A 23,241-nucleotide genomic window follows, 5' to 3' on the forward strand; every position below is an offset into this window, starting at 1 on the left:
AAAAAAAAAAAAAAAAAAAGCAGAGCAGCTACAAGTTACAAGTTGCAAAAGGGTTAGGATAAGGATAAGATTCTTCTCTACACCTTTTTGAGGGCAGAAGGTAACTCAGATGTTACTTCCAGAAGGTGGAATTAAGATGTTGGCCTTTAGTTTCCTCACTCAGTAGGAAGTAAGCTCATGAAGGCAGGGATTGCTGCCTATTGTTGACTTCTGCTATATTCCAAGAGCCTAGAACAGTGCCTGGTACCTGGTAGGTGTTCGATAAATATTGCTGAATAATAGAGCTCAGGAATTAAGTCTAGACACTAGGAAGAGAGGCTGGCTGTAGAATAAGGATACACTGGGTGTGGTGGCTCATACCTGTAATCCTAGCACTTTGGGAGGCCGAGGTGGGAAGATCACTTAAGGCCAGGAGTTCGGGATCAGCCTGAGCAACATAATGAGCCCCCATCTGTACCAAAAAAAAAACAAAAAAACTAAAAACATTTTTTATCTATATAATTTTCTTTTTTTTGAAATAGAGTCTCACTCTGTTGTGCAGTGGCACGATCTTGGCTCACTGCAACCTCTGCCTCCGAGTTCAGGTGATTCTCCCACCTCAGCCTCCTGAGTAGCTGGGATTACAGGTGCACGCCACCATGTCCAGCTAATTTTTGTAGTTTTAGTATACAGGGTTTTGCCATGTTGGCCAGGCTGGTCTCGAACTCCTGACCTCAAGTGATCCACCTGCCTCAGCCTCCCAAAGTGCTGGGATTACAGGCATAAGCCACCACATCTGGCAAATATATTTTTAAAAAATAGAATTAGGGATAAGTATCTCTTTCTTTTAGACCATGAGGAAGATTTATGAGCTAGAGGTAAGGAAGAGACTTAGGCCTGCTAGCTCTGGGCTGAATGCTATGGTACCCAGTGAGTTTAGACTATTGGAGGGCAGGCCTGTTAGGGGACTGAGGTCAGAAATCCCCTCCTGCTTCCATATAGGCAGCCAAGAGCTGGCCTGGGACACCAGCTGGGTGCTTTTCCCAGCCGTTTGCATTCCAGCCTGTATACAATGAAGAAAGAGTGACAGTGTGGTGACATGATTTAGGTTAATGAGCTACTGATCACCTGCCAAGTGGGTGGGAAGTTTTTTTTTTTTTCTGCCCACTTCTGTAGAAAAAATTTTTTATGAATGACTCATCTTGTCTCATTACTCAGAGTACAAATTTGTGAGCTGGTAATAAGAGGTCAAAACCTAAGGAGAACATATCCACCCCCACTCTCCAACACCCAGTTTCTGGTAGATGGATATGCTCATTATCTTGATTGTGGTAAAAATTTCATGGATGCATACATATGTCAGAACTATCAAATTGCACACTTTACATTTGTGCAGTTTACTGTTTGTCAGTTACACCTCAGTAGGGCTGTTTATGAAAAGGAAAAATCTTATATGTAAACTTTTTATAATCACAGAGTTTGGATACTTAATTTATTAACTTGCACATATAAATTTATCTAATTCATCTTTGCAGTCAAAGAGAAAGTCATTTCTAGAAAAAAAAAAACTGAATAATCATTTTGGGGAAAACAAAGGACAGCCTAGGGAGACTAGATACAAAGAGTGTCATTGTAGAATTTCTAGCCACACACCAGAATAAACTAGCCTCTCCCACTCCTGAGGGGAGAAATGAGGAAAAAGTCTTTGCTTAGCTGGAGTGAGAATGTTGCATTCTTTTGTAAGCTTTTTGTAATTCTTTGTTTATCTAGTTGACTTTCTCCTTGAGACCAGCCTTTCCTTCTCCGCTTCAATCTACAGGAAATCCTCCCTCTCCTATAGAGAGAAAGACAACTTTCTCCTAGGGAAGCCAGTTGTTCTGCCACTCTGCTGGCCCGAGGCTTCTATTTCTTAGTCCCCCTGATGTGCTACAAAACTTGAGAGACACAAATCTATCAAGTCTCTCAACTCCCTTATTCTAAAATGATACAGGCACATGCCACCATGCCCGGCTACTTTTTGTACTTTTTGTAGAGATGGGGTCTCACTACGTTGCCCAGAATGGTCTTAAACTCCTGACCTTAAGCAATCCCTGCACCTTGACCTCCCAAGTTCTGGGATTACATGCATGAGCCACTGCACTCAGGCATAAATTTGTGTTTTTTAAGCCACTAAATTTGTGGTACTTTGTTATAGCAGCCATAGAAACTAATACAAACGTTACCTGACACACAGTAGATAATCAATAAGCATTTGTTACTTGACCAACTTATATCTGGTACTTCAGCCAATAATAAAAATAATACTTCACGCCAGGAGCAGTGGCTCACGCCTGTAATCCCAGCACTTTGGGAGGCCAAGGCGGGTGGATCACGAGGTCAGGAGAAGCAGACCATCCTGGCTAACAGGGTGAAACCCCATATCTACTATAATTACAAAAAATTAGCTGGACATGGTGGCGGGCGCCTGTAGTCCCAGCTACTTGGGAGGCTGAGGCAGGAGAATTGCTTGAACCCAGGAGGCAGAGGTTTCAGTGAGCCGAGATCGTGCCACTGCACCCCAGCCTGGGCGACAGAGTGAGACTCCATCTCAAAAAAAAAAACAAAACACACACACAAAAAACTAAAAACCTTCACAATAGCAAAATGTGTTTAAATTCTTAATCTCATTTTGTTGTCACACTTATTAGCCTTACTTTATAGATAAGGAAATGGAAAATCAATTGCCCAAAGTCATATATATATATATATATATATATATATATATATATATATATATATATGTATTTTTTTTTTTTTTTTTTTGAGACAGTCTCGCTCTGTCACCCAGGCTGGAGTACAGTGGCATGATCTTAGCTCACTGCAACCTCTGCCTCCTGGGTCCAAGTGATTCTCCTGCCTCAGCCTCCCAAGTAGCTGGGATTACAGGTGCCAGCCACCATGCCCAGCTAATTTTTGTTATTTTCAGTAGGGATGGGGTTTCACCATGTTAGCCAGGCTGACCTTGAACTCCTGACCTCAGGTGATCCACCCGCCTTGGCCTCCCAAAGTGCTGGGATTACAGATGTGAGCCACCACTCCCGGCTGAAATCCCATATATTTTAAGAAGCAAAAAGTAGATTTAGAACTGACATCCTAGTTTTCTCTTTTAATGACATTGTGTCAACAATAAATGACATGTAAAAAAAATCACTCACAATCCTTTGACTCTATTTAATAGATCAACCAGTTTTATTTTTCCATGTCTTCAAGGTCTCATCCATACAAATACACATTAAAAATATTTATGCCAGGCCAGGTGCGGTGGCTCACGCCTGTAATCCCAGCACTTTGGGAGGCCAAGACGGGTGGATCACGAGGTCAGGAGATGGAGACCATCCTGGCTAACACCGTGAAACCCCATCTCTACTAAAAATACAATAAAAATTAGCCGGGCATGGTGGCGGGCGCCTGTAGTCCCAGCTACTCAGGAGGCTGAGGCAGGAGAATGGCATGAACCTGGGAGGCGGAGCTTGCAGTGAGCTGAGATCGCGCCACTGCACTCCAGCCTGGGCGAGAGAGCGAGACTCCGTCTCAAAAAAAAAAAAAAAAAAAAAAATTTATGCCAGGTGCGGTGGCTCATGCCTGTAATCCCAGCACTTTGGGAGGCTGAGGCAGGCGGATCACCTTAGGTCAGGAGTTCAAGACCAGCCTGGCCAACATGGTGAAACCCCGTCTCTACTAAAAATACAAAAATTAGCCGAGTGTGGTGGTGGGTGCCTGTAGTCCCAGCTACTTGGGAGGCTGAGGCAGGAGAATTGCTTGAACCAGGGAGGTGGAGGTTGCAGTGAGCTGAGATTGCGCCACTGTACTCTAGCCTGGGTGACAGAGCAAGACTCCGTCTCAAAAAAAAAAAAAAAAAAAAAAAAGGGGCCAGGCGCAGTGGCTCATGCCTGTAATCCCAGCTCTCTGGGAGGCGGAGGCAGGCAGATCATGAGGTCAGGAGATCGAGACCATCCTGGCTAACACAGTGAAACGCCGTCTCTACTAAAAATACAAAAAATTTGCTGGGTGGCGGACACCTGTAGTCCTAGCTACTCGGGAGGTTGAGGCAGGAGAATGGCGTGAACCCGGGGGGCAGAGCCTGCAGTGAGCCGAGATGGTGCCACTGCATTCCAGCCTGGGCGACAGAGTGAGACGCCGTCTTAAAAAAAAAAAAATATGGCCAGGTGCAGTGGCTCATGCCTGTAATCCCAGCACTCTGGGAGGCCGAGGTGGGCAGATCACGAGGTCAAGAGTTCGAGACCAGCCTGGCCAACATAGTGAACCCCCATCTCTACTAAAAATTTAAAAATTAGCCGGGTGTGGTGGCACTCACCTGTAGTCCCAGCTACTCAGGAGGTTGAGGCGGGAGAATCGCTTGAACCTGGGAGGCAGAGGTTGCGGTGAGCCGAGATCGCACCATTGCACACCAGCCTGGGTGACAAGGTGAGACTCCATCTCAAAAAAAAAAAAAAAAAATTATAACTATATGGTGTATGTGTAAATATATGCATATATATAACTATATATAAACTACAGAAACCTTATATGTGCATATATATACAGTTTTCATTTTCTCTGTTCAATATTATTTTATCACCCAGTACATTGGTTTGGATTCTCTGAGAAGGAGATGCTCAAAGTTAGGAGCAGAAGAGGTTTATTGGGGGTAATGCCTGTGAAGGATATAGGGAGAGGAAGCAGGATGGATAGGGAGAGCCTCAAGTCATGATGCGGATCTGACAAAGTCTCAGTCAACTCCGCGGGAGACGAGGGGCAAAGTTGGGCAGAAATGGCCAGGCTTTAGCATGCACACCATGCTCAATCGTTGTCTGGAGGCTGCCTGGGAAGAGTGTGGTCTTAACATGAACATGATCGTGAATCCTGAAGTTGCTGTAGCTGGAAGCTGTGAGATAACTGCACTCCTACAGCTGAACAGAAAGTTCTTTTGTGAAAGGAATCCAAATGGGGTACCTCCATGGCTGCTCCAGTCTACCCTTTGTATCATGTGGATTCACTTCTCCAGACATAATTGGGCAGGGCTTCTCTTCCTGTGAAAAACTTAGATGAGCGTGATTAGTGGAATAATATACAGCCCCCATTGCTGCAGTTGTTCTTGGAGGTGCAACAGGTACTCATTGTTTCCTTCTTCTACTCTAAATCCCTCTTGCCCTCAGCTATCACTTCTACTAGTCTCAGTGGCTTACTGATGCTGTGGCCCAAACCCTAATTCCTCAGGGGTCTGAGGCCCCTTTCTCAGGCCAGGGTTGCTGCATTTATCATTCATAGTCATAACTAAGCAAAGGAGTACCAAGAAATGCCCAAGTCGCAGTGGCGCATGCCTGTAATCTCAGCCCTTTGAGAGGCTGAGGCGGACGGATGACCTGAGGTCAGGAGTTCGAGACCAGCCTGACCAACATGGTGAAACCCCATCTCTACTAAATACAAAAAATTAGCAGGGTGTAGTGGCGCATGCCCGTAATCCCAGCTATTTGGGAGGCTGAGGCAGGAGAATCACTTGAACCTGGGAGGCGGAGGTTGCAGTGAGCCAAATGGCGCCATTGCACTCCGGTCTGGGCAACAAGAGTGAAACTCCATCTAAAAAAAAAAAAAGAAGAAAGAAATGCCCAAGTGAGTCACCACACATATTCTTCCCTGCCCCAATTGTAAAACAGCAGCCCCACCTCTTCCCTGATCAGGGTCAATTACACTGGCAATATGATAATGATAATTTCTCTTCTTACTTGGTGATTCCTGAATACAAGGAGTTCAAAGTGCACAAGTGGTAGCCATACCATGTAACTTAATGTGACCTTTCCTGGAAGAGTATGGCCCTTTGGGGATCAGAATGTCTCACCATGCGGAGCCCAGAGCTGCAGAATAGGAAGCATAAAGTCCCTCAGTGGGTTACTGAGAGCGATGATAAGTGGGGCTATACTTTTTCTGCTCCAGATGTCACTCAGAGCAGGCAGTCTTTCGTGCCACCTAGTATATGAGTCTAAGCAGTGTTTCTAGTGTGGAAAGTGTTGCCTTCAGAACCTGAAGAGACCTGCCAGGTACTTCGATTCCGTCTTTGTGGTAGGGGATGCAAGATGCAGCAATTTGTCTTTTACTTTAGAAAGGATGTCCTGGCATGTCCCTTAAACACCAAACTCCTAAAACACCGACTGAGGTGATCATCCTCTGAATCTTAGGGATCTCTTCCATGATCTGGAGGACATGTGTCTTACCAAAGCCTCTAGTATGCTAGCTACTCTTGCTCATCCTGACTGACAGGCATGATGTCATTGATATAATGGATCAAAGTGATGTTCTGCAGGATGTCTGAACAGTCTAGATTGCTTCTGACTAGATGGGGTGGATCCACTGTAAGCTGGACTTTGGCTAGTACTCTTTTATCCAGCTCTTATAAGCTCCCACTCCAATAGGGGAGTGAAGATGACACTTTGGGACTATGTTTCAATGTCAGTTCAGATCCTGTGCCCAACAGTCATCTGTGCACAGTCACCTGAATAAATACTTACAAGTCCCCTTTTGGAAGGACTGGGGAATCATTATAGTATATAATTACCATGGTGTTGCCAGTCTTTGGGGACCAGTGTACCTCTATAGTCAATGAGTTTTGGGTCTGAAAACTGACTTAGGTTCTGGAACCAGACAAAGGAGCATGCTTTTTAACTGAGAGCTCCATCCTCAGGTTCCTGCTCATCCATTCTTGCTCTCTGTTAATTACACATCTTCAGCAATATCCTTGTTTTGACTGCACATCCATTTTGCCCCCTAAGGATAGCATGTTTTATTAACCATCGATACAACTCTTCATGTCAAGCCCCTTGCCAGTCTCTCTGATACTTGTAACCCCCATCCCACGGCTTCTGGCAATTAAGTGCTGCCACCAGCCTCTACTACCTCAGTACACCCATCATCCTTGTCACTATAACAGAGCCAAGCTTGTGACAGTGTCTCCTCCTGTTAGCACTGGCTTGTAGAAGAAAGCCACAACTAAGCTTCTGTGTGATGCTGGCACTTTCACCAGCACATTTTTGATGGCCTTGGTAAATGGGATTCCTGGCTGGTGCAGTGGCTCACACCTGTAATCCCAGCACTTTGAAGGCCAAGGCAGGCAGATCACCTGAGGTCAGGAGTTTGAGTCCAGCCTGGCAAACATGGTGAAACCCTGTCTCTACTAAAAATACAAAATTAGGCCGGGCGCGGTGGCTCATGCCTGTAATCCCAGCACTTTGGGAGGCTGAGACAGGTGGATCATGAGGTCAGGAGATCGAGACCATCCTGGCTAACACAGTGAAACCCTGTCTCTACTAAAAATACAAAAAAAAAAAAATTAGCCGGGCGTGGTGGCATGCGCCTGTAGTCCTAGCTACTCGGGAGGCTGAGACAGGAGAATTGCTTGAACCTGGGAGGCGGAGGTTGCAGTGAGCCAAGATGGCGCCACTACACTCCAGCCTGGGTGACAGAGCGAGACTCCATCTCAAAAATAATAATAATAATAATACAAAAATTAGCCGGGCGTGGTGGCGTATGTAATCCCAGCTACTGGGGAGGGTGAAGCAGGAGAATCACTTGAACGCGGGAGGCAGAGGTTACAGTGAGCTGAGATTGCACCACTGCACTCCAACCTGGGTGACAGAGCGAGACTCCATCTCAAAAAAAAAGGGATTCCTCCGGGCCTTCTATGGAGCATTCTTAGAATTCACTCTATCATGCCCGTTTTGCTGAGCCATTTAATCTTTTCTTCCCCCAGTTGCTCTGGCAATACAGACATTTGACCTTCACTCAGCAACCATTATCATTTCCTCCATGCTCCTAGGAGCCACTAGGGGCAGGTCCTTACCAGGAAGTTAAATTCCTTTTTATTTTTATTTTTTTTGAGACGGAGTTTCATTCTCGTTGCTCAGGTTGGACTGCAATGGCACGATCTTGGCTCACCGCAACCTCCGCCTCCCGGGTTCAAGCAATTCTCCTGCCTCAGCCTCCTGAGTAGCTGGGATTACAGGCATGCGCCACCACACCTGGCTAATTTTGTACTTTTAGTAGAGACGGGGTTTCTCCATGTGAGTCAGGCTGGTCTCGAACTCCCGACCTCAGGTGGTCCGCCCACCTCGGCCTCCCAAAGTGCTAGGATTACAGGTGTGAGCCACGGTGCCCGGCCAGGAAGTTATATTCTATCCCAAGAAAGTGGTCCCCAAGTTAAAAAACTTGCCCTTAATCCACTTTTATATTTCATCCCCTTGATTAAGCACTGTCAAAATCCAATCCCATGGGTACTTCCCTACTCTTACCACTAAACGTTGGCCAGTTCTTGCAGGATACTTTGGGTTATAGTCCCTTTCTTTCCTTATTAGGCCTAGTATGTCCTTAGCTACCAGACTATGCTGTAATTTAACCCATGAGAGTTTAAGATTAAGATCTTCACAGTCAGGAGATCATGGGAGGGGAGAGGCCTCTGCAGTGTCTTAAGGCTCTGAGGGTTCAGAGGAGTGCAGAAAGCCAGAATCTTTGGGGGGACCTGCCCAGATATTTCTATTCCACGTATTAGGGTCCCAGGTTTTCCCAAGCAGAGTCCTGACCTTGATTGCAGATCTGCCTCTGGGAGCTCTATTGAAGTCCTCGAGTTTGGTCTTCAGATTTTTTTGCTCTCTCACTGCTATAGATAAGGGCCTCTTTGTAAGCCATCAGAAAGGCCCTCTGACCTTCACAGTTAATTTCCAACGTTTGTTAACTACTCTCAGCTTTTCATTTTCTCCTGGCAGGGCCCAGTGCAACTTAATAACAGCCAGCCAATTCCATTGTCCCTATACTCACTGCTGTCCCTCCGCCTACCCCCTATGCCTGAACTGTTCCACCACAGGAGCATTCTCTCATTTCACATCAGTGAAAATTTAGCAACTTGGCTACCATCTTGTTCCAGAGACTACCTGTACCCCACAACATCCAGGAGGGGTTCTTGTTGCCAGCCAGGCAGTGAGTACTGCAGTTCCCTAAACCTATCTTACTGCTCGCTTTTTCAGACCACTTCTGGAGTGGTCACCTGAGTCAGTTCAGGTGGTCTGGGGAGCAGATACTGAGACAAAGTTAGGAGTGCAAGAGGCTTACTGGCTGGCAACACCTGTGAAAGATAAAGAAGGAGGCAGGAATGGGCAGAGAAAGACTTTGGATAGGCTTCCCTATCCTGATAAAGTAAAGGAAGGCAGAAGCAAAATCGGGCAAGAAAAACCTCAAGCTGTGGTGCAGATCCTTCCAAGTGGCAGTCTACCCAGTGGAAAGCACCAGGGCAAAGGTTATCACATAGAGAAATCAACAGTGGGCAGAAACGGCCAGGTCCCAGTAACCACACTGTCAGTCATTGGCTTGGGGCTGTTCAGGAAGAGTGTGGCCTTAGCTCTGACATGGTAGTGGATCCCAAAGGTGATGCAGCTGTGGGCTGACAGTGAATTGCTTTCTGGCAGTTGAATGGCAGATTCTTTCTAAGGGATGTCATGGCTGCCACATCAGGTATTTTTGTCTTGGAGTTCAGTGCTATTTCCATATGTCATTTTGCCTCTGTATTATGAGACTTATACTTTGAAAAAGATTCAGATAAAAAACCTGAGCAAATCAGCAATTAATGGGATTCTGCTAAAACTCTTTGCCACAGTGGACTGTGAGAGAACTGGAGGAGTCTCAGGGCTTGCGGGATGTGTGTATAGGTTTGAGCTGCCAAGCTTCTGTCCCCTTCATTGATGAGAGGAGGAAAGCGAGATGGGAAGTAGAATCAGCTGTTGTTTGGGTGTGTGGAGGAAAACTGGCTCTCTCCTCAGAATGGCGTTTTAACAACCCAGAAAAAGAATTACACGAAGGAATCTGTTCCTTTTAATTTCTTTTTTTGTTGTTGTTTTTTGAGATGGTGTCTTGCTCTGTTGACCAGGCTGGAGTGCAGTGGTGCGATCTCGGCTCACAGCAACCTCTGCCTCCCGGATTCAAGCGATTCTCGTGCCTCAGCCTCCCAAGTAGCTGGGATTACAGGCACATGCCACCATGCCCAGCTAATTTTTTTTCTTTATTTTTAGTAGAGACGAGATTTCACCATGTTGGCCAGGCTGGTCTCGAACTCCTGACTTCAGGTGATCCACCTGCCTCAGCCTCCCAAAGTGCTAGGATTACAGGCTTGAGCCACCATGCCTGGCCTGGGAATTGGAAATATATGGCCTGTCTTGCTCTTTTTTTTTTTTTCCTTTTAAATGATATTCTTATTTTGAATGTAGACTGAAGGCCAGGTGCTATGGCTCACGCCTGTAATTCCAGCATCTTGGGAGGCCAAGGTGGGTGGATTGCTTGATCCCAGGAGTTCAGGAGCAGCCTGGCCAACATAGGGAAACCCCATTTCTACTATTTAAAAAACAAACAAAAAAATGAATATATACTAGAGACTTTGAACTTACTGGAATTTAGCTGCTCAGAGAGTTAGAGATGCGCAGCTAGGACAATAGGGGCTACAGGGTGTGGTGAGATACAAGGAACTTGGAAATGAGTCTTTCCCTTGTCGGGGAGTGACTCTGATTAAACTGAAAAAAGTTGCTTGGAATGCTTTGTCCCAAACAATTATCCTTTATGTACTAGATTTGGCTACACTTACTCACGTTCCTAGCTGATAACAAAAGGAAGAGGTGGGAGGCAGAACATGACTTTTTCCTCTTCAAGAAACCCAAAGGAAACAATACAGTTATGAAATCTGGGATCATCTTCATAATTCTCAGAGAAAACAGAGCCCCAAATATTTTGAAGACTTGGCTAGGAGTACAGCTTTCCCAGAAGTAAAATTAGAATACAGATATCTTGACTCCTGACTTGGTACGCTACCTCAGTGATGTCCATTCATGAAATCTCTGTAGCTCTGCCTCCCTAGTCAAACTGAGAAAAGAGTGGACGACATGGGTCACAAAGAATGAAATATCTTTTGGGGACTCTTGGAAGTCCTGTACTCAAAGATTGGACATGTATATAAAGTGAGTATATGCAGTGACCATTTCTTATCTTCCCTAACCAGAATAGAAATTGTACTTAGCCAGGAAAAGCCCCAAGTGTTAGTATAATTACATATTATTATTGCTGTTGAAGAGCAAAGTATTTGTAAACAAAGCTCAAGAGAGAAATGATGAGTAATACGCTAAAAGAGCATCAGGGTGAGTGGTCCTTGCTTTTCCCTCCTTTTGCCACCACTGTGGTTTTTTTTTTTTTTTTTGAGACAGAGTCTTGCCCTGTTGCCCAGGCTGGAGTGCAATGGCACGACCTTGGCTCACTGCAACCTCCGCCTCCTGGGTTCAAACGATTCTCCTGCCTCAGCCTCCCGAGTAGCTGGGATTACAGGCGCCCACCACCATGCCCAGCTATTTTTTGTATTTTTAGTAGAGACGGGGTTTCACCATGTTGGCCAGGCCACCATGTTGTTGAACTCCTGACCTCAGGTAATCTGCCTGCCTCAGCCTCCCAAAGGGCTGGGGTTACAGATGTGAACCACTGCGCCCGGCCACCACTGTGGTTTTTAGGGTTTACCTCAATCAAGCCTTACCATTGCATTTATCATAGAGACTTTCTGAAGTACTGCCTCTTTCCTGCTCAAGAACATTTAATAGCTCTCCATTACCTACCAATAAAGCCCACATTTCTTTTTACTTCTTTCTTTTTTTTTTTTCTTAAAGAAACATAGTGTAGCTCTGTTGCTCAGGCTAGAATACTGTGAAAGCCCACATTTCTTTTCTTTTCTCTTTGTCACCCAGGCTGGAGTGCAATGGTGCAATGGAGCGATGTCAGCTCACAGCAACCTCTGCCTCCCGGGTTCAAGCGATTCTCCTGCTTCAGCCTCCTGAGTAGCTGGGATTACAGGCACCCGCCATCATGCCTGGCTAATTTTTTTGTATTTTTGTAGAGACAGAGTTTCACCATGTTGGCCAGACTGGTCTTGAACTCCTGATCTCAGGTGATCCACCTGCCTCAGCTTCCCAAAGTGCTAGGATTACAGGTGTGAGCCACCGAGCCCAGCCGAAAGCCCACATTTCTTATTCTGATATTCTAGGCTTTATACAATCTACCCCAGAATTTACCTATCATCTTATTTACCACTATTCTCTGTCCCTTTGCTCTACAGGCTAACCTTCCAGTTCGCTAAACTGACATGATGCTTTTCTGCCCCTAGGGCCTTTGCACGTTTTCTTGCTGTCTTTCTTCCTTCCTTTCCCCTGCCTGTTTTTTCAAGGCCCAGATTATAAATCACTCTATTCTAGTTGAAAGGGAAGCTTTCCAGTAACACTTCATTTGTGCCATTGATTTGGCATTTATCATATTCTTCCTTAGGCTTGTAGATAATACCAGCAGTTCCAAAACCTTTTAACAAATTCTCCAGCCCTGAGAATCACTTCTCTTTGGCAGGTCCAGTAATCTGGTGAACTAGTTACCTGCCTCAACTTTCTCAACTCCTCACTCTTTCACATCTGTTCTTCCAATTTAAGTTCCAGAACAGAGACTTCACCTTCTCCTCTAAGTTCCAAGTTTTGACTATTTGGCTGTTCTCTTTTTCTCTTTTCCTCTTTCTCCCATCTCATCTTAGTTCTTGAATCTTGTCTCCTTTTCTAGCTTCTTATTAAAACATAACCAAGTCTCTTCTTCTTCTCCTTTCTTTTTTTTGAGATGGAGTTTCGCTCTTGTTGCCCAGGCTGGAGTGCAATGGCACAATCTCGGTTCGCTGAAACTTCCGCCTTCCAGGTTCAAGCAATTATCCTACCTCAGCCTCCCAAGCAGCTAGGATTACAGGTATGTGCCACCACACTCAGCTAATTTTTGTATTTTTAGTAGAGGCGGGGTTTTACCATGTTGGCCAGACTGGTCTTGAACTCCTGACCTCACGTGATCTGCCCGTCTTGGCCTTCCAAAATGCTGGGATTACAGGTGTCAGCCACTGCGCCCAGCCAGTCTCTCCCTCTTAAAAATGAAACCAGCTGGGCACAGTGGCAAATGCCTGTAATCCCAACACTTTGGAGGCCGAGGCGGGTGGATCACTTGAGCTCAGGAGTTCAAGACCAGCCTGGACAATATGGCAAAACCCCTTCTCTACAAAAAATACAAAAATTAGCTGGGTGTGGTGATGTGCACCTGTAGTCCCAACTACTCAGGAGGCTGAGGTGGGAGGATCGCTTGAGCCCAAGGAGTTGAGGCTGCAGTGAGCCGTGACTGCACCACTACACTCCAGCCTGCGTGACAGTGAGACCCTGTCTCAAAAAAAACCAAACACCCCCCCACCAGTCTCCCCACAAAACCCCAAAACCAAACATAGAAGTTGCCCTTTCTTTTACCCTGTTTTCCTTTAAGTCAAGGTACCCTCTCTCTTTCCTTTTTATTGATACACTTCTTATATTGCATTCTGAGTTGAAAGCCTATCACACTGCTGAAACTGACGTCTGGAAGATCACCCATAACTTCGAAATGCCAAATTCCAGTCTCTTCTCCTACTTGAATACCTCTCTTGCATGAACTTCTTTACTTACCTTTCTCAATAACCCCACAATGATCCCGTTTTTACTCCTCATCTGTCCTTTATTTCTCACAGTTTGTTCTGTAGTCCTCTTAGCAAACTTTCATCTATGAGGATGATTCTTAGCTCTGTCTCTAGCCCTGATTTCTTTTCTAGGCTTCATTTCCAGTTGTTTGCTAGACATTTGTATGTGTGTGTGGATTTACCACATGCTTTTTTAAAATTTTTTTTGAGACGGAGTTTTGCTCTGGTTGACCAGGCTGGAGCACAGTGGCGTGATCTCTGTTCACCGCAATCCCTGCCTTCCGGGTTCAAGTGATTCTCCTGCCTCAGCCTCCCGAGTAGCTGGGATTATAGGCGTGTGCCACCACGCCCGGCTAATTTTTGTATTTTTAGTAGAGACAGGGTTTCTCCATGTTGGTCAGGCTGGTCTTGAACTCCTGACCTCTGTTGATCCGCCCGCCTCAGCCTCCCAAAGTGCTGGGATTACAGGCGTGAGCCACCGCGCCCGGCATCACATGCTTCTTTAAAATATCAGGTTCCAGAGTTAATTTATCATACTCTTCTTCTAGGTCCTCCTCAAATCCTTCCTGTCTCTTGTCCTTTCCATTTCAGCTAGTGGCATCACCTCATTTCCATTATTATTATTATTATTATTATTTCGAGACAGAGTTTCACTCTTGTTGCCCAGGCTGGAGTGCAATGGCACAATCTCGGCTCATTGAAACCTCAGCCTCCTGGGTTCAAGCGATTCTCCTGCCTCAGCCTCCCGAGTAGCTGGGATTACAAGCATGTACCACCATGCCCGGCTAATTTTTGTATTTTTAGTAGAGACAGGGTTTCACCATGTTGGCCAGGCTGGTCTCGAACTCCTGACCTCACGTGATCCGCCTGTCTTGGCCTCCCAAAATGCTGGGATTACAGGCATGAGCCACCGTGCCCGGCCTTAAACGGGTGATCTTTGAGAGAACAATTCAGTAGAGTTGCTAGTGGTATCAGTGAATCTTGGAGAATTCAGGAAAGAATTGCAGGAGAGGAATTTGGTTCCAAATCCACTTTTTTTTTTTTTTTTTTTTGAGATGGAGTCTCGCTCTGTCGCCCAGGCTGGAGTGCTGTGGCTAGATCTCAGCTCACTGCAAGCTCCGCCTCCTGGGTTCAGGCCATTCTCCTGCCTCAGCCTCCCAAGTAGCTGGGACTACAGGCGCCCACCACCACACCCAGCTAATTTTTTGTATTTTTAGTAGAGACGGGGTTTCACCATGTTAGCGAGGATGGCAAATCCACTTCTTTGATGAAACCTGCAATTTACCTAAAACTTTCTCTATTATCCCATTTCATAAAATAAAACTTCTCTCTTTAACATCTATCAGTGTTATTTCTTCTTTCTGGGTATTATATTTGCTATAAATTCTGTTTTTGCTGTATTTATAAACTGGCCAATTTTGCCATTTCTTTTTTGAAAAAATTTTATTATTATTATTTTTTATAAAGATGGGGTCTCACTGTGTTGCCCAGGCTGGTCTTGAATTCCTGGGTTCAAGCGATCCAACTCCAGGGCTCAAGCTATCCTCCTGTTTTGGCCTCCCAAAGTGCTGGGATTAGAGGCATGAGTCATCACGCCTGGCCCTGTAGCATTTCTTAAGGAGAGGGATCACCTGTCTTCTGAACTCTGGAAAAAGACCAGGGTGTCGCCTTTGTCACTTGTGCCTGGATGTACCTCTCAGACTGAGTGCTTCCTTGAAGAACAGATGACGAAGGCGGTGACTCAGAGGCTCCCACTTATCCTTGTAATTCGTGTTCATGGTGCTGGGTAACCACCCAAATTGGTATTTACTACAAATATACTAAGTATCCTAATTGCTAAGGTGTTATCTAGGGGAGTTTAGGCGCTTCCGCCTTTCCAATATCTGAGTCAATTTAATATCCCACATTAAAAAAAAAAATCTCCTTACAAACACTTGGTGGGGGCGAGCGTGGTGGCTCACTCCTGTAGTCCCAGTACTTTGAGAGGTCGAGGCAGGCGGTTCGCTTGAGTTCAGGAGTTCAAGACCAGCCTGGACAACATGGAAACCCCATCTCTACTAAAAATGCCAAAATTAGCCCGGTGTGGTGGTGGGCGCCTGAAGTTCCAGCCACTCAGGAGGCTGAGGTGGGAGGATCGCTTGAGCTTTGGAGGCTGAGGCTGCAGTAAGCAGAGATTGCACCACTGCACTCCAGCCCGGGTGACAGAGTGAGACTCCGTCTCAATGAAAAAAACAAAACTAAAGCAAAAACAAAAACAAAAAAACCCAAAACAGGCTGGGTGTGGTGGCTCACGCCTGTAATCCTAGCCCTTTGGGAGGCCAAGGTGGGCAGATCACTTAAGGACAGGAGTTCAAGACCAGCCTGGTGAAACCCTGTCTTTATTAAAAAATACAAAATATTAGCCGGAAATCAATTGAATCTGGGAGGCGGAGGTTGCAGTGAGCCGAGATTGCGCCACTGGACTTTAGCCTGGGCGATAGAGCAAGACTCCGTCTTAAAAAAAAAAAACAACAAAAAAAACCCAAACCAAAAACCATCCCATGGGAGTGTCTCTGAACCTATTCTGGTTCAGGAGGCTGCACAATAAAAGAAAAATAAGAAAAAATTTTTTAAAAAAAAGTCTTTTAAAAGCCACCCAGTGTTCAGGAGGTGCGCTCCTGGAAGGACATTTCCTCTTCTGTCCCCACCCCCACTACATGTTTTTTGCTGTTCCTCCCCAGGGAACAGGCCGGTTTGATGGCCCTAATCCTTATATACAGCTTGCTCTGGAATGCAGAGACTTTGCATCCCAGCTGAGGAGCTGGTAAGTGGACTTTACTCTGTAGGACCCACACCTAGCTTTTGAAGGCTTGGGGAGGGGCGGAAACCAGCTCCCGAGAATACACCGGAATCTGTGCTGCATCGAAGATTCCTCTTCTACTCCAATAGATACAGGGTAAATATTTGTTGTAACTAAATGAGAACAAAATCCGGAGCCCAGCAACGTAAACGAAGTCAATCTCTTTTTTACATATCTCAACGGTTAACAGCTAGGATGCCAGCTTTAATGTTGTTTTAACTGCAGCTGGTATGAGCGGTCCTGCAGTTTGCAGAGCCCCTAGTTTTTACTCTTTTCTAGGAACTGGGATCAGCATCCCTACTTTTTGAGAGGCTAACTCTGAGGTAAATTTACAACTGAGTCCCTTTCAGTTTAGAACGAAGGTCATTCCTATTTTGGTAAATTTGCGTCCCCGGTTTCCATTCATTCAGTCAACAAATATTTATTAAGCATGTAGTATGTACCAGTCCCTGTTGTAGGCGTTTGGGGTGAAGCAAGGCACAGAACAAGAGATCCTTGCTCTGGTGAAGCTTATCGTAGGACGGGAGGCAAAATGATGAAAATGATTTTTAAAATTATGTTATTAACTAGAAGGTGATAAATATTACATAGAAAAAGATGTCAGGCTGCAAAATGATTGCGGAGGCCACAAGATAAAAGAGAATCCAAGATCAGGGTTCTGGTTCGGGTCAGGGAAAAGGGAGACGAGCTGAGGTGCAGGAGGCTCTGACGTCGGGGGACAACGGAGATATTTTCTGCAGAAAGTGACGAAAGAGCATTCTGGTTCCTGCAGAGGTAGGTGAAGGACAGAAAGGGCCCTGGCCGGCGATTCCCTTGGAGTAAACGGGAGGCAGGAGGCTGTTTTCTAGCAGAGCCCAGAAGATGCTCTGGCCGACGGCTCCCGGGATCTTGGCCGGCGGTCACTCGCGACCATCCGCGACGCCCCCAAAATGGCCTCCGCGCCCCTCGCCGCCCCGCCCCGACGCTCCGCAGCCCGTGGGTCCACGTGACCTGGCCCGCCCTTCGCGGCTGGAGACCCCGGGTCCCGGTCCCCGCACCGGAGGCCCCGCCCCCTACGGGAAGCGGACCAACCGGAGCGGGGAAAGGCGGGGCGGGCACTGACGGCCCGCGGGGGTGGAGCTCCGCAGCGGAGTAACAGGTTGGTGGGAGGGAGAGAAAGGAGGGAGCTCCGAGGACGAGGGGGAGGGCCGGAGCTGCGCGTGCTGCTTTGCCCGAGCCCGAGCCCGAGCCCGAGCCCGAGCCCGAGCCCGAGCCCGAACGCAAGCCTGGGAGCGCGGAGCCCGGCTAGGGTGAGTGGACCCGGTGCGGGCCAGGGCACCCGAGAGGAAAGCGAGCCTTCAGGGGTACCTTTGAGGGGCAGGCATCGAGGCGGTGTGAGATGCCCCTCTCCAGGGCACCGGTGCCGAGTGGGAGACGGGAGGAGGGGAGATTGGGGCGGGGTGGGGTACTGATTAAGAGCCGACCCCTACCCTGAGGTGCCAGATGCAGGTGGCTAGGAAGGTGCCAGGCGAGGGGCACCTGGGGCGAAGGCTGTTCCCAGCGCATGAAAGCGTTTCAGCGCCAGATGTCTCTGGAGGTCAGACGCCAGCCCTAGGGGCAGAATTTCTCTTGGAGACAGCGGTGGCGCGGGGAAGGAGTTAGTTCCAGCTGAGTCGGGAACTGCTGCTGCCTGAGGTGCAGACTCGCCAGGGGAGGGCATCTGCAGGTGCTGCTCGCCTGAGGGTCTTTCCTGCGTCCTGCGGTCTCAGCTGGCCGTTGTCAGCACCCTGGTGGCTTTGAGATGACTCTGAGGTGTGGGATTTTTTCCCCAGCCCTTCACCTCCGGCCGAAGGCAGTTGCGAATCAGAGACACTGAGGGGCAGATGAGAGGGCACCCTCATCTCTTCACCAGGTGTACAACCATTAGGCTTTCACTTTGTGTCCTTTGCTTTCGTGCCAGGGAGAATCGTTCCTTCTTCCTCTTGAGAGAGAGAGAGAGTACTCCCCAAGAGAGGGATATGAGGAAGCAAAGAGCCCTGCCTGGTCCTGCAAAATATTGATAAATATTAATACTTATTTCTCAGGAGGCCCCTTTCTGGGGGCGGATGTCAAACCCTTTCTCCAAGTACCCACATATTTTTTCTGTGGTTCTAGATGGGGACCATTGGATGAGGTTTGGGAGCCCAACCAATTTCCTTGATGTCTGGAGGAATCCCCATTACTCCCTGAACGCCCTCCAGGCATCCCTGACTCCTGAACTGCGGTGGCTGTCAGAATGGCAGCAGGCACTATTGGGGCAGGAAATAGGCAGGACTCATCAGGAGACCACGAGACTAGGGAAATTACAACTCCAAATCCCCAGGACAGATGAAAGGTGCACCTTGGGGCCCAGACAAGACTGGAGGCAAATTTCTTTGCCTTAGGCAGGTAAAGGAACTAGAGTCAACCTTAGCTTGGCCCCTTTGAAGCCCTGCCTGAGGAAGGTTGTTGTAATTGGGAAATAATTAGCAACCGCTATGTTTGTAGATGGGCTGCCTACACATGCCTATGCATCTCTTCTTTCATCCTGGATGTTTGGGAGTCTGGGGGCTGGCTCTGGGGGACTGCTAATCCAGAGATTTGCCCGACTCTAAGAGGATTCTGGCTTCCTAGAACCCTTCCTGTGTTTCCCAGGCTGGCCTGCATGCCATTCCCCTTGTGGGAGGTGATGGGGGTGTAGGGCTCTTCTCTTTGTGCCAGGGAGGGGCGGACTGAGGACCAGGGAGGTGGCCAAAGCAAGTGTGGGATCAGGAATGCAACTTTGGGAACCTCAAAGGGAGGGGTGGAGGGAGACAAAGTCTCCCTGTCACATACTGGCCTGTCACCAGGTTCCTGTTCATCTGCTCCTCCTGCCTGTTCCCTCCCTGCCCTCTGTCCTCTCCTTCAGAGCTTTGGCTTTGCCATCAAGGCTGGAGAGCCCCTGCCTGTGGTCTTGCCCCTCTGCCTCCTCCGTGGTGTGGAATTTCTCTGGTCTGCTTTACAAGCTGCCAGTGTAGTTTCCCCGGCCCTCCCCTTCCCCTTGCCTCTCAAACCAGTCCAGCCAGTTTGCAGGGGCCCAGTTCCTCATTGTGTTTTTTTCCCTACTGGCCAAGCAGCTGTAGCCTGGCTCTCAGGTTTCTGCTCTTTCAGCGGACCTGGGCAGGAGTCCACTTGGGGGATTCTTTTTGGATCCACGGGGAACCTTCTTATCTCTAACTATGAGAAAAAGGGTGCCAAATCATCAAGGTCACTGAGCTGTCCTTTTCTATTTCGACCATTTGCTTTCCTTGTTTCCTCTGAGGGGATTCTAATCTCTATACCTCAAGTTCTCCCGTTTTCTAAATCTGCCAATTATTTAGCATCAAGCATATTGCCTGGCCCTATGTGAATCAGTCCTTCCTCCACACACCCGAAACCACCCCACCCCCACTTCCTGCCAGAAGTCCAGATACCCTGTCACTCCTAGTTGGAAACCAGATGCATATGGCTGGGCCAGAGGTGATGGAATTGGGGCAGGGCAGGCTAATGAGTAACTCAGGGAGAAGTGGCTGTCTGGTACAGGTGTAGAGTGTTCTCCCACTCCTTGCAGGCAGGAAAGGCAGAAGCAGACAGATGCACCTGAATCAACTTGTGGTCTGGTCTCTTCCTGGAGTACAGTTGGTGAGGAGAGCCCTGGACATGTGATAGGGGAGAGAAAAGTAGGGTCAGGCATTGGTGAGGGCGCAGGCCCTGGACTCCATGTTGCCTGGCCCTTGATCACTGTTTACCTGCCTGTCTCTGGGGCTTACGCAAGGCCTCAGAGCTGCCCTGCTGCCTTGGTCCCGCCCCACTGTCCTCTGTAACCAAAGGCGGGTAGGTTTCGGGTTTTCCATGTTGAATCATTTAGAGCCCTGCTTTCTGACCCACCCCAAAGATCCCTTCAGCCCTCCTGGCCCCTGATCCACATGTCCTTGGACTGAAGGTGATTGAGGTTAGGGAGTTAACCTAACCTGGGACCTGGGGGAGTGTTCAACACTGCCTCTGAATAATTTAGTGCTGTTGCTCAAGGGTCTGTGCCCTCTGCTGGGCCTAGGCTGGGAACTCCTTGACCTGGATCTGGAAGATCAGTAGATGTACTGACAGGGTAGACTGCATCATGAATAAATCATATGGCTTCTGAGAGCTGGCAATCTAGGCACTTCTGGTTCTAAGATCATGACTACATAGGGCAGCAAGTCTGGACCAGGAGGAGGTCCTGTTGCTAAGAGGTCCTGTTACTGAGGCAAAGTAGATTTGTCCTGGGCAAATCTCCCCACTGCTGTGCAAGTGGGCTTTAGTTCAGGATACAGCCTTTAACAAATATTTGTTGACATCTACCACGTGTCCAAACACCTGGGGACACAGTGGTTAGCTGCTAGCCATGGTCTTTGCCCTCCAGGAGCTTATTATCTCGTAGGGGAGACAGACAGGAAATAATTACTCCAATAAATGTATAAATATAAACTGGAGTAAACCTGCTGAAGGACAACTATAGAGCGTATAACGTGGATCTGACCTGGTTTGTGGGAGGCTGATTTGTGAGAACTGACCTTGTTTGTGGGAGTGGTGGTCAGGGAAGGCTTCTCTGAAGAAGTGACATCTTTCTATGAACCAGGTGAAGCCAAAAGTGCCTGTTGGACAAAGTAGCATGTGTGAAGGATGATATTTGTTGTCAGCTTTGTGATAGTCACATGCTAAATGTTTTCATGTTTAATATCTTGTTTTTCTCTCCTTTTTATTAAATTAGAACCCAAGTTCAATAAAGTACAAACATCTTTTTTTTTTTTTTTGAGATGGAGTCCTGCTCTGTGACCCAGGCTGGCGGATCTCGGCTCACTGCAGCCTGTGCCTCTCAGGTTTAAGCAATTCTCCTGCCTCGGCCTCCCCAGTAGCTGGGATTCCAGGCGTGCACCACCACGCACAGCTAATTTTTGTATTTTTAGTAGACGTGGGGTTTCACCATGTTGGCCGGGCTGTTATTGAACTTCTGACTTCAGGTGATCTGCCTATCTCAGCCTCCCAAAGTGTTGGGATTACAGGCATGAGCCACTGCGCCTGGCCTAAATAAAGTACAAAGATCTTAAGGGTATAACTTGGTACTTTTTTATCATTGTATATGCCCATATAATTATTTATTATCTCATTCTCACAGATAATAACCTTGTGGGGTATTATCATTATACCCATTTTACAGATGAGGAAACTGAGGCACAGAAAAGTTGTGGGTTTTTTGTTGTCGTTGTTGTTTTTGAGACAGAGTCTTACTCTATTGCCCAAGCTGGAGTGCAGTGGTGCAATTACAGCTCACTGCAGCTTCAACCTCCTGGGCTCAGGTGATCCTCCTGCCTCAGCCTCCTAAGTCGCTGGGACTACAGGTGTGTACCACCATACTCGGCTAGTTTTTTGTATTTTTTGTAGAGATGGGGTTTTGCCATATTGCTCAGGCTGGTCTCAAACTCCCGAGTTCAAGTGATCCACACACCTTGGCCTCCCAAAATGCTGGGATTACAGGCGTGAGCCACCACACCAGAAAAGTTGTGATTTGCCTCAGGTTGCATACATCAGGTGAAGAGCAGAGACAGGATTCCAGACCAGATCCTGACTCTAGCCCAGTGCATTTTCTTCTACTGGATGAGTGGTTTGGAGAACTACTTTACCTGTCTGCCTTCACAAGCCTTTTAAGATGGGGTGATAAAAGTTTGGATGTGCTGTCTCCTCAGGGAGAGTGTATTGCTTTCATCATTTTCTCATGGAGTCCCAGGGCCAAAAAGATGAAGAACAATTCCTAATAAAGGGCTCTTCTCTCCCTGTTCCTTTCTCTTGAGAATTGCTGGGAATTCTAAGAATGCTCTTCTTCAGATAGACCTTCCCCACCAAGCCCTTTGTCACCTGTAGCTCTGCCTCTCCCATCCCTTCCCCTCCCTTCTCATCTCACCCTGGCTTGCTAGCACTTTACAGTCCCTGAAAGGGGCCTTGCCAAGTTTCCTTGGCCCAGAACTCCATGGGGAGGTTGAGTTGGGTATGTTTGTGTTTCTGTCTGGCACGTTAGAGGCTCATCCTCCAGTTTGGTGCTAGGCTCTGGTGGAGACTAGCAGAAGGGGTGGGGAAGCTGAATTTTTTTATTTGCTTGGAAGACAATCTCTCCCCCAAGTTCCTGGAGCCAGAGCATACCTGGAATACATTCCATTTGCTGACTCTGAGCTTTAGCAATGTGGACCTGGGAAGCTGGCCTATGGATGGTGTTGGCTCTGGCTCTCAGCTGAGACAAGTTTACCTGACCTGGGGCCCCTTAAAGTGGCACTTTTTTTTTTTTTTTTTGAGATAGAGTTTCACTCTTGTTGCCCAGGCTGGAGTGCAATGGCGTGATCTTGGGTCACTGTAACCTCCGTCTCCCAGGTTCAAGCGATTCTCCTGCCTCAGCCTCCCGAGCAGCTGGGATTACAGGCCCCCGCTACCACGCCCGGCTGATTTTGTATTTTTAGTAGAGACAGGGTTTCACCATGTTGGTCAGGCTGGTCTCAAACTCCTGACCTCAGGTGATCCACACGCCTTGGCCTCTGAAAATGCTGGGATTACAGGCGTGAGCCACCATGCCCGGCCGAGTGGCACAGTTTTTAAACCACATTTAAATATTTTTGGCTGGGTGCGTGGCTCATGCCTGTAATCCCAGCACTTTGGGAGGCTGAGGCGGGCAGATCACCTGAGGTCAGGAGTTTGAGACCAGCCTGGCCAATATGGTGAAACCCCATCTCTACTAAAAACAAAAATTAGCCGGGCATGGTGGCAGGTGCCTGTAATCCCAGCTACTCGGGAGGCTGAGGCAGGAGAATTGCTTAAACTCGGG

At 47.5% G+C, this 23,241-nt stretch overlaps 1 protein-coding gene across 3 annotated transcripts in view, besides 8 other annotated features; it reads left to right on the forward strand.

The window, feature by feature from the left end:
- Window positions 10,047-10,547: an enhancer, noted in NCBI's record as "H3K4me1 hESC enhancer chr1:151476367-151476867 (GRCh37/hg19 assembly coordinates)". NCBI's record gives its function as "activates a minimal SCP1, AML or CMV promoter by ChIP-STARR-seq in primed H9 embryonic stem cells {active_cell/tissue: H9 hESC(primed)}" and the evidence as "EXISTENCE:reporter gene assay evidence [ECO:0000049][PMID:30033119]".
- CGN (cingulin) overlaps window positions 16,326-23,241 on the forward strand; it is a 28,523-nt gene continuing 21,607 nt past the window's right edge. For 2 of the 3 annotated variants that reach the window (XR_921902.3, NM_020770.3), the window contains exon 1: window positions 17,543-17,671. The gene's annotated coding sequence lies outside the window, so the exon portion shown is untranslated. Of the gene's footprint in view, window positions 17,157-17,542; window positions 17,672-23,241 lie in introns of those variants that run through there. The other variant, XM_005245365.6, reaches the window with a different exon arrangement.
- Window positions 16,620-17,196: an enhancer, noted in NCBI's record as "H3K27ac hESC enhancer chr1:151482940-151483516 (GRCh37/hg19 assembly coordinates)". NCBI's record gives its function as "activates a minimal SCP1, AML or CMV promoter by ChIP-STARR-seq in primed H9 embryonic stem cells {active_cell/tissue: H9 hESC(primed)}" and the evidence as "EXISTENCE:reporter gene assay evidence [ECO:0000049][PMID:30033119]".
- Window positions 17,194-17,593: a silencer, noted in NCBI's record as "silent region_1323". NCBI's record gives its function as "represses an Ori minimal core promoter by ATAC-STARR-seq in GM12878 lymphoblastoid cells {active_cell/tissue: GM12878}" and the evidence as "EXISTENCE:reporter gene assay evidence [ECO:0000049][PMID:35858748]".
- Window positions 17,194-17,772: a biological region, named in NCBI's record as "H3K27ac-H3K4me1 hESC enhancer GRCh37_chr1:151483517-151484092".
- Window positions 17,197-17,772: an enhancer, noted in NCBI's record as "H3K27ac-H3K4me1 hESC enhancer chr1:151483517-151484092 (GRCh37/hg19 assembly coordinates)". NCBI's record gives its function as "activates a minimal SCP1, AML or CMV promoter by ChIP-STARR-seq in primed H9 embryonic stem cells {active_cell/tissue: H9 hESC(primed)}" and the evidence as "EXISTENCE:reporter gene assay evidence [ECO:0000049][PMID:30033119]".
- Window positions 17,924-18,063: an enhancer, noted in NCBI's record as "active region_1722". NCBI's record gives its function as "activates an Ori minimal core promoter by ATAC-STARR-seq in GM12878 lymphoblastoid cells {active_cell/tissue: GM12878}" and the evidence as "EXISTENCE:reporter gene assay evidence [ECO:0000049][PMID:35858748]".
- Window positions 18,926-19,502: an enhancer, noted in NCBI's record as "H3K27ac-H3K4me1 hESC enhancer chr1:151485246-151485822 (GRCh37/hg19 assembly coordinates)". NCBI's record gives its function as "activates a minimal SCP1, AML or CMV promoter by ChIP-STARR-seq in primed H9 embryonic stem cells {active_cell/tissue: H9 hESC(primed)}" and the evidence as "EXISTENCE:reporter gene assay evidence [ECO:0000049][PMID:30033119]".
- Window positions 19,503-20,078: an enhancer, noted in NCBI's record as "H3K27ac-H3K4me1 hESC enhancer chr1:151485823-151486398 (GRCh37/hg19 assembly coordinates)". NCBI's record gives its function as "activates a minimal SCP1, AML or CMV promoter by ChIP-STARR-seq in primed H9 embryonic stem cells {active_cell/tissue: H9 hESC(primed)}" and the evidence as "EXISTENCE:reporter gene assay evidence [ECO:0000049][PMID:30033119]".

Source organism: Homo sapiens, chromosome 1 (assembly GCF_000001405.40).
Source record: "Homo sapiens chromosome 1, GRCh38.p14 Primary Assembly".
In the NCBI taxonomy this organism is placed as follows: Eukaryota; Metazoa; Chordata; class Mammalia; order Primates; family Hominidae; genus Homo; species Homo sapiens.